This window comes from Homo sapiens, chromosome 17 (genome assembly GCF_000001405.40).
Source record: "Homo sapiens chromosome 17, GRCh38.p14 Primary Assembly".
NCBI lineage: Eukaryota > Metazoa > Chordata > Mammalia > Primates > Hominidae > Homo > Homo sapiens.
Window position 1 is genome coordinate 40,614,311 of NC_000017.11, and position 10,019 is coordinate 40,624,329.

Sequence of the window (10,019 nt, forward strand, 5' to 3'; positions counted from 1 at the left end):
CACTGCACTCCAGCCTGGGTGACAGAGTGAGACCCTATTGTTAAAAAATTAATTAATTAATTAAAAATATTTCTTTAATACCCATCATGAGCCAGGCTCTGGGGGATACCATGGTGCCTCAGGCTGGAAACACCTTCTTTGGTAGAAGACACAGACTGTCTAAGCCACAGACGGGGGCGCGTCGGTCTCTCTCTGGAAGTGGAGATGCTGGGAAAGGCTTTGCAGAGGAAGGCACATTTGGGCTGCATCCTGACAGCAGGGCAGGCGTTCGTCAGGCTGGGGAGGTGTGGGGCAGCACCGGAGCAGAGTGTCAGTGTGTGTCATGGCTTGGTTTCCCTCAGAGGCCTGCTGGGGCCACCTTTTAGCTACACTCTTCACACCTCATTTTCCCACTTCCCAGACCCTCTGAACATGTCCTTCTCTCTTACTGGTTGCTCCCAGTTTTGCTCATCCCAGGGCCTTGCACCATGTGTAGCACAAAGATTCATTACGATCAATACCAGTTAGTCTAGGAACTGTTCTCAGAGCTCGGTGACATCCCTGGTGTGGGTGCAGCTGGGGACAGCAGCGGGACTTTGACTCCCATTTCCTCTCATGAGCTCCTTGGCCTGGCTCCCCCGGGAACTTGTTGTGAGAGGAGGATCACAACAAGGCTGGGCAGGATGAGGGCATCCCTGGGTTCTCTGTGCCATTGAAATACAACACGGCCCCTGCCGCAGGTGAGTGGATAGTGGGCCCATGTGGTTTAGCATAACCCAGAGCCAATGTCCTCAACAGGGCTGCCGATATGGTAGTGCTCACCCTTCACCTGGAGGCGGCTATGCTCCAGGGCACAATTTGACACACTTTAACAGGACAGCGTGTTGGTGCATTGGACTAGAGGGCCTTTAAGATCTCTTCCAACTGCACGCTTCATTCTGATCCAGTGATTCTTTCTGGCCTTGAGCTGGGAACATCAGAACCCAGTCCCGTGGTGGCTGCCAGAAGATACTGTTAAAATGCAACTAGAAGAATGTTGTTTTGGTTCTTTCACACATCAGCTGCTAATCTTTGTAGGATTTTCCCCTTCCCAGGGTTAAGAGAGAGAAGAGGAAGTGAAAACAGGAGGGGAGAATTTTCTTAAAGCACCTCTTGCCTTGTAGACAACAACCAAAAACCCCCTAGGGTTTGAACAGTGCTGTGTACTTTTTTTTTTTTTTGTAGCTTGTTCCCATCTACAGCCTGCCTCATTTGGTTCTCAGAGCTCCCCCAGGTGGGAGGCAGAATTCTGAACTGCCCCAATTCCACTCTTATTTGCAGACAGGGGGCATTCCTGGGGCTGGAGGGAAGGGCTGAGGACTGGCTCTTCTGGCAGAAGGAGGTATTTTACAGTCATTCTGGAGAGGCACTGGGGGTTTCTGAGTTTCTTCATGAAAGCTGGGCAGAGCCTTCTCTACACCTGGTGGAGAAAGGTCTGTGTGAACAGGGATTAAGCTGACTGTCCTCTGGGTGGAGCCCTTCGGCCATGGAAGGCGGAGGAGCTGGACTTCCGAGCACCGATTCAGCATCTGCTGATCTCTCCCAACCACCAGCCTCTCCTGGCTATTGGAGATCTCCGACTCCAAGGCCCAAGCCCTCCCAGTTGAGAGCTCCCAAGTGCAGTATCTACTGCCAAGACAGGGGTATCTTCCCCAGAGTCCAGTAGGCATGTTTCCAAATTTTCTTGTTGTTTAACAGATTTCATTGACAACTCAAAACATGCAGCTGGCTAGTGGGAAGCAGGGAGAATCTGGAGGCAAATGAGATGGAGCCCTCGTTCTCCAAGAGGTGGCTGTTCTCCTGATGCAGACAGACATGGACACAAACACAGTGTGAGGATGGAATGGAAGCGTGGTGGGGAGGGGAGGAGAGGGAGCGCTACACAGGACCAAGGCAGCCTCACCATTGCACGTTGGAGCCCTGATGCCCAGTCCCAGGGCATAGTCTCCCAATCCAGGGCCCCCTGCTCTGGTGACCTCATGCTCTGCACTAAAAATCAGCAACACACAACCGGGCAAGTGTGAAGGTCCAAGGCGCCAGGGGGCCAGTGTATTTGAAATAGAGATGGTCCCAGAAATTCAGGTCCCTGTTCCCATCGCCCTTTGGGAAAGGCGGTAGTGTGGCTCAGTTGAACTGAGAACAGAAAGGGGACTTGCTGGGAAGGGAGATTAGGTGGTCCTCTCCTGCCTCCTGGGAGTTTTGGCTGGGGATTGGGAAACTGGGACTGGAAGAGAAGCTGGGGATCAGGGATGTCAGGAGAGAAGGGGCAGTCTTCACTTTGTTTGGCAGAGATCAAGCGCAGGGCCATTTGGCATGCCAGCAGGGCTGAAAATGAGCCACTGTAGGACCTGGGTACACAGGGCCCCTCTCCCCCTCATGCACTCCGAGGCCCATTCTTATGCCTCTCAGACAAGTATGGTGAGTTGATCCTAGATTCAGTCTGGGTTGGGGATCAGAGCCCTGAGCCTCTCCCAGCCTGCACTGGCCAGCCCCTCCTGTCCTTCTGGCTAGTCTCTGCTCCTTCCCATCTCTGCCCTGGACTTTCCCCATAGAGCCTTCACTCCCTCATGCAATCCCCTTCTCTCCACTTCCGCTGCCCTCTCCCAACTGCTCAGAAGCTGTGCTTCCATGAGGCCTTCCCTTAGGAGTGCCTGTCTTCCCTTTCTGAGCTCCCCTGGTTCAGGGGGCCATGCATATGACAACTGCCAGAGGGTTTTGGTTCATTTCTTTGTTCTGTCTCCAAGGTTCTGACTCCTTGGGGCTGAACCCAGGTCTCCTTCACCTCTGAGTTTCCCCCATCACTTGGCTCTTCATTAAGCCATCAGTAAGTACTGCATGAGCAAAAGGACAAGATTTATCATTGGATCTCAGAGGATGGCCTCTGTCTACCATCTTATTTTCTGAAGAAGTGGCTGTTTGCTTTCCAGGAAGAGGCCGGGGAGAGAGCTGGAAGGAGGGTCCATAGCAGATTTCTCCCAGGAATCTGGAAGAGCTGAAGTCTCATGAGGATCAGGACTGTGGGCTCAGGGGGCACCTAGCCGGGCGCTTGGGAACGACAGACCAGTTTGCTGGTTTAGGCAGGAGAAAGGGGGTAGAAATCTTGTTAATTTCTGGCAGTGTAGAAATCTACCCAGTCTACCAGTTTGGGAGAGGGTTGGTTTTCAGGGTGAGGCCAGAAGAAATTCCACACAGATGTATTCCAGCTCCTTCTTTCTGGGGGTACAGAGTAGGGTGAGCTATAAAGAGTGAAGGGATGGGACCACCTCCAAGAGCAGCCACCTCTGACCCAAGAACCATGTTTCCAAATGGACAGAGTTGATTTAACAACGACTCAAATATCCTACAAGTTAATACCTACTTCTTTCTCCTCAATCAAGGCCCAGTCATCCCTGGGGAGAAGCCTTGAGTGCTGGGCTGGGCCCTGGGTGGGGAATTTAATGTGCTGTCATTTTACTGACATCTGTAGAGGTTTGAAACTGGACAAACAGGAAGTGTCCTGTCTTTAACACTTGCACAATCTCAAGCCTTTTGTGAAATATCAAGGAGTGGAGGTCGCAGGGGCCCGTGGTGTGAGGTGCTGTGAGGTAGCCCTGGACCTGTCTCTGATCCTGAGAGCTGGGCCCTCTGCAGCTGAGAACGTGCCCTGCAGCCGCTTTCCCTCCTTAGCCGTCGTGCACAACCTGTGCTGTGAGACGCTGCTGCTTGCCTGGCACTGCTGTTGAATCAGTCTCCATCTCCTCATTTTGATGGCAGCCTGGGTTTGTTATCCTTCAAAGATCGTCTCTTGGAAGGACACCAGCCTCTGATTACATTTCCGAGCCTGCCTGGAGGCAGCTAAGCTAATCCGACACGATTTGGGTGGATTCCCTTCTGGCCTCATGTTCTGACACAACCTCTGGCAGCAGTAGGGTGGGAAGATGGACAAAATAATTACGCCCTATGAGTTGAAAGGAGAATTAAAATTAATTCCCTCGTGCAACTTTTTTTTTTTTTTTTTTTTTGCGCCAGGTGTGGTGGCTCACGCCTGTAATCCCAGCACTTTCGGAGGCTGAGACGGGTGGATCACTTGAGGCCAGGAGTTCGAGACCAGCCTGGCCAACATGGCAAAACACTCTCTCTACTAAAAAATACAAAAATTAGCTGGGTATGGTGGGACATGCGTGTAATCCCAGTTACTAGGGAGAATGAGGCAGGAGAATTGCTTGAACCCGGGAGGTGGAGGTTCAGGGAGCCGAGATCACGCCACTGCACTCAAGCCTGGGCAACAGAGACTCTCAAAAAAAAAATTTCTTTATGAGTACCTAGTAGCAGATAATTCAGGGCTGTTCTCTATTCCTTTTGTAACAGGTCTAATTTATGGCAGTAATTTTTTTAAAAAACTATTTTTTTCAGTAGAATTTTGTACATATGACTTCTATAACATTTAGGACATTTATCCTTGCTTATTATAAAAATGATTTAATTGTAGTAAACCCGGTTTTGAAAAGAGAAGAATAAGAGATCGCCCATAATCTTAACACTGAACACACCGGATCCAGTTTGTTTTCCCAACCAGTCTTCATCTGATAGCGTGTTTAATTGCATGATCCTAATATACATTTACTTTTTGAAGAAACCTAGTTTGCACGGTCCCATGTGGCTACATAATCTTTCTCATCATCGTTAAGGCACAAAATACCTTTAGGATCATAATTTACTCAGCCAACTTCCTGCAGCTGAAAATTTAATTATTTCTTTTACCTTTCAAACCAATGTGTTTGCTTGTCTTTTCTGGACTCTGCCCTGGGGCCCCGGCAGAGAGGAGGTGGAGCCGTGGAACAGGGTTAGACCCAACTCATCTTCACGTCCTGCCCCTCAGCCCGGCCCTTGGCCCGACCCCTGCCAAATGGCTCCGGCTGTGTTCAGGTGCCTGCGGAAAGGCGCTCCTACCTGTCAGCAGTGTAAGGGCATTTCCAGGTCACATCTGTCAAGGACTTTCATTCATGGAGCACTTGCCCACTGGACACTTGCCACTTGTGTAGACACCTCCTCTAGCAGGGACCATGCCATACTGCATCTTTTATTACTGGTGCCAAGGAGGGTTCCTGGCATATAAAAAGTGCTCAGCAGTTGTTTGTTGAGTGAATGAAAGTTAAGAGTGATTGACAACTCACGAGGAATCCTGTAAGTCACCAGGCTCTTGCCCAGCTTGGGCTGCAGAATCGGACACTGTGCTGCTTCACAGGCCTTGGGGACTTTGACTAAGATACCTTCCCCATCCCCCAACTTCAACCATACATTTATGAAGGTTTAATAGCGCAGGGTCCCCACCAGACCCTCCAGCGTAGGTCTATTTTTTTTTTTTTGAGATGGAGTCTCACTCTGCCTCCCAGGCTGGAGTGCAGTGGCGTAATCTCGGCTCACTGCACCCTCTGCCGCCCAGGTTCAAGCAATTCTCCTGCCTCAGCCTCCCGAGTAGCTGAGATTACAGGCACCTGCCACCGCATCTGGCTGATTTTTGTAGTTTTAGTAGAGACGGGGTTTCACCATCTTGGTCAGGCTGGTCTTGAACTCCTGACCTCGTGATCCGCCCGCCTTGGCCTCCCAAAGTGCTGGGATTACAGGCGTGAACTACCGCGTCCGGCCCCCTTTTTTATTTATTAGGGTGATCAGCTTGTTTCCGTTTTCCCGGGACTTGCCTGGTTTTATCACTGAATGTCCTTCCTCAGTCCCAGGTAAGCGGGGACAGAGTTCTCCTAGTTCTCGGCATCCAGTGCTTAACAAGCTCCTGTAGAGGGCGCTGGAGGAAAAGCTCAGGAGGCAGGTGCCGGATGGATTGAGCAGTTGCTGTCCCAGGTGGAAGATATCATGTCACCCGGACACCATCGCCCGGAAAATATCACGTCACCTGGACACCATCAGACTCAGGAGCGGGTTAGAAAACAACCGATCTCCTTAACCCTCCCCCAGGAAACGCTTGTGTCAGGAAACTGATGCTTATTGGCCAAGAGGGAGTGACCGTGTCAGACAAGTCTCTGTTTCTTCATCCTGAGAAAGCAAATCATGTATAAATGAATTGTGGTTGTTTCAGGCTGTCAAACTCCAAATGTGTTCTGGCTGCAACTACCCTGACAGCAGGATGCTCCAGTTGCATTGACCTAGAACAATCTAGGACAGAGAAAAAAAAAATCGCTTTGATTTTGTTGGGGAGGACACATTTTTTAATTCTGTCTTTCCAGGTTCTTGGCAGGATCTCTGTAACAAAAGTCAGGCTAGAAAGAGAGAAGCATATATATTTATTTAATACACGTTTTATGTGATACAGGGGCTTTTGTAAGGAAATGAAGACCCAAAGAAATGTTTAAACCTGAGTGTTTTTATACGGGGTTTGATGAAGAGTGGAAAGTCATGGAAGAATATGATAGGACAGAGGGGATGAGCTGAGGGTGGGAAAGCGGGGGGAAGCTCAGCAAGGCCTGTTTGCCCAGTTTCTCTTCTTCGCAGATAAAAATGCGCTCTTCCCCTGAGTATAGGGAGGGCACCTGTCACCTGAGGTTCTTATGACCTGCTTCAAGGGAAGTTCAGAAATTGGTTCAGCTTAAAACATCCACTATTTTCAAGGTGCCATATTTTGGGCCTGAATCCCATCCATTTTTTTTCAAGTGTGTCTATCCTGACACACATTTTTTTTCAAGTGTGTCTAAAACTGTCCATTTTCCCCTGGTTTATGTAGACCTATCCAATTCCCTTGGGAAACTCAGTGGGAAACATGAAATTTACTTTCGAAGTGGGTGGTGATAATGAAAAATTAATCTTGCTACGATTCTGGTAAGAGACCAGACCCACACAGACCCTACTTTGGGCATTACCTGGCTGAAGCCAGCAGCAAGGCAGCGCACCCTTCTGACACGCACAGGTTGCCAGGGGCTCCACATGCATCAGCCCCCTGCTTTGGTGCATCACATATATTGCTGTTGATGTGTTCAACTCTGTTGCAAAGTGTTTGGAACAGATAACATCACAGTCGGATCATTTATCAATTCTTTCACTCGCCCACCTTTTGTTGTTGAACCACATACTTTGGGTAATAACTACAGTTTATTAGGTATGCTGTGAACACTGTTTTTAAGGAGTGCCTGGCTGAAAACACCCACAAAATGATTTAAAAACACAAAGCTAGGCCAGGCAGAGTGGCTTACGCCTGTAATCCAAGCACTTTGGGAGGCCGAGGAGGGCGGATCACTTGAGGCCAGGAGTTGGAGACCAGCCTGGCCATCATGGCAAAATCCCGTCTCTACCAAAAATACAAGAATTAGCTGTGCATGATGACGTGTGCTGTAGTCCCAGCTACTCGGGAGGCTGAGTTAGGAGAATTGCTTGAACCCAGGAGGCGGAGGTTGCAGTGAGCTGAGATCACTCCATTGCACTCCAGCCTGGGCAACAGAACGAAACTATCTCAAACAGAACAAAACAAAACAAACCCTCCGAAACCCACAGAGCTAGTATTTACAAGTTGGAATGTCATCATTGTGAATGTTTCCATCTGCACAAATATCTGGAAAACGACTATTAGGATACCAGCCTTTATTACTGCTCTATTAAGAGAAGCCATTTGCTCCTAAGCCCTTCGCTCTCTTAAAAAAATCATTTTAAGAACTGGAGTGGTTATGAGAAAAGCACCGGTGCTTTTAAAGATTTGCAGAAGGGGGAAAGGTCACTTGGCTGTCAGTTTGAGTTTTTATCTCATAGATGGGGTACCTATCACTCACAGAACTGGAGTCGGATAGACCTGAGTGGGAATCCTGTCTCCATCATAAATTAACTGTGTGATCTTGGACAAGTTATTTAACTTTTCTAAACCTCAGTTTCTCCATCTTTAAAACAGAGATGATATTCATAATATGTCATTAAAAAGTATAACATTAGAATGTGTCGCACACTGAAGAACGTCCAACTCTTGGCAAAGTTCAGTCCAACTAGGCTTGAACATGTTTTTAAAAATATCCTGAGGCTCTGCTCTCCCCGGAAGAAGCTGTAAAGAACAATTCCAGCCCTGGCACTGAGACAATTGGATCTTAGATGAGTCATTCACTTCTCTTTTTTGGGGCCTCAGTTTCCCCTTTGGTAAAATGAAGAGATTAAACCAAATCAGTGATTCTCCAAACTTTGCTAGTCTGCTAGGCTTCTCCTTAGTAGCCTCTAATTCAGTAGTCTTGGGTGGGGTTCAGACAGCTTCCCTAGGAGATTCTGTGCTCAATCTGAGAGCCACCCACCTAAGAACCACAACCACAGCCACCTAGACTCTGACTGACATTTGATGGCTTCAAGGAGGTATTTTAAAGCTATTGTCCCAGAATACGTGGTGTGTTTTTTGAGGAGGAGGAAGATCTATCCACGGCACACATCAGGAAGAGGTGGTTAAAGGTCAGAGAGTTATTCTGCAGAAAATCCATCTGATTTGGTACTTCCTGAAATTTTTGACACCCAACCAGGGATGTCTTTTAAAAGGTTCCCCACTGCTCACAGATTGACAGGAAACCACAACAGGGGTAAAATGCACGCATAACACAGCATACATCAGACATGAGGGTAGTTCTCTATATAGCACAGTATTTTTTATTATTGTAGGCTTACAAATGATTTAAGTCTGTGTGTTTGTGTGTGTGTGTGTACTTTTTCATTTTGGTGGTATGGAAAGCTTTGGAGGGAAGAAGGAAAGGATTCCACAAGGAATAGTTTTTCCATATACATCTCCCATTGCAAGAACACTGATCTCCGAGTGGATTCTTTTGTCTTGAGTCTTTTGAATTATTGATCCACAATGATGAAATCCCTAGCACAGATGTTCAATCTTGATGTCATTTAATATCTCGTACAACAGCCTGAGGCTAATTTTCCTCTCTCCAGGAAAAATGGTTTGTAAGAGTTGATTGATCAACTCAAGCCCAAGATCACAAATATAAACTTCATTGGTAAAGTGATCTACTCTAATATTATCTTCAGGGATTAGAAAATAAAAAGTATAAAAAGTGCATGAGCATACAGTAAGTGCTCAACAAATGTTGGCTTTTATTATTATTAGGTGATCATGGAATTAACTTTCACTAATTTGCCCTTGAGTTATAAGCCGCTGTTGACCCGGGGATAGTTTCTAAAAAGACAAATCTCCTGCAACTGCAGGTAGCAGAAGATAGACCTTCCCATTAGTGCTGTCTTCTCCTAAGCGTGTTATCCAGACCACCATGTGGGATCCTTGGGATGATTTTGGGTAGTACACAGACCATTTAAATAATGTTCTTTGAAAAAAAAAAACTTTATTTAAAAAATAGAGACAGGGTCTTGCTATGTTGCCCAGGCTGGTCTTGAACTTCTGAACACAAGCGATCCTCCTGCCTTGGCCTCCCAAAGTGCTGAGACTTGGCCTTAAATAATACTCTTTTAAATAGTACGTATTTAGGCCTAAAGAGAACTACTAAAATATTTGCGTTAAGGTTATTTTCTTTTTTGACAAAAGACAATGGTTTTAACATTTATGCTGATATACAGTTTCCCTTTAAAATAAATCATTCAAGTGGAAGAAGCTGATTCAAAGAAAGCTGCTAAGTAATAATAGCACAAGTTGTACCCAGAAATGGTAAAAATTGTGATGGTGGCATGCAAATGACCGAGTTTGAGAAGTACTAGATCAGTGAACTGAACCTGTGTGCTCCCCGTTGGGCTACATCTGAAAACATTCGTCAACACTCATTTCATGGAGCTTGAATCCGTAGTACAGTTACAAAACTTCTGTGCTGTACAGGACCTTGAGGTCATCGTGGGACCACCCCTGTATTTTAGGCAGATGGTTTCCATGATCTGGAGATGTTGTGTCTCAAGTGCAATACACTGGGGAGGAAACACGACTTTACCAGATTAGAGAAAACCATGTTTGAAAAGAGACAGTCCTTCTATCCCAGGAGAGACACATTGGAGGGGAGACGACAGGACAATGAGAATGTAAACTATCTACGTTCCAAATTTTT

The 10,019-nt window shown here is 47.1% G+C and overlaps 3 annotated features.

Annotated features, from left to right (window-relative positions):
• Window positions 479-598: an enhancer, noted in NCBI's record as "active region_12160". NCBI's record gives its function as "activates an Ori minimal core promoter by ATAC-STARR-seq in GM12878 lymphoblastoid cells {active_cell/tissue: GM12878}" and the evidence as "EXISTENCE:reporter gene assay evidence [ECO:0000049][PMID:35858748]".
• Window positions 879-1,468: an enhancer, noted in NCBI's record as "active region_12161". NCBI's record gives its function as "activates an Ori minimal core promoter by ATAC-STARR-seq in GM12878 lymphoblastoid cells {active_cell/tissue: GM12878}" and the evidence as "EXISTENCE:reporter gene assay evidence [ECO:0000049][PMID:35858748]".
• Window positions 9,556-9,695: an enhancer, noted in NCBI's record as "active region_12162". NCBI's record gives its function as "activates an Ori minimal core promoter by ATAC-STARR-seq in GM12878 lymphoblastoid cells {active_cell/tissue: GM12878}" and the evidence as "EXISTENCE:reporter gene assay evidence [ECO:0000049][PMID:35858748]".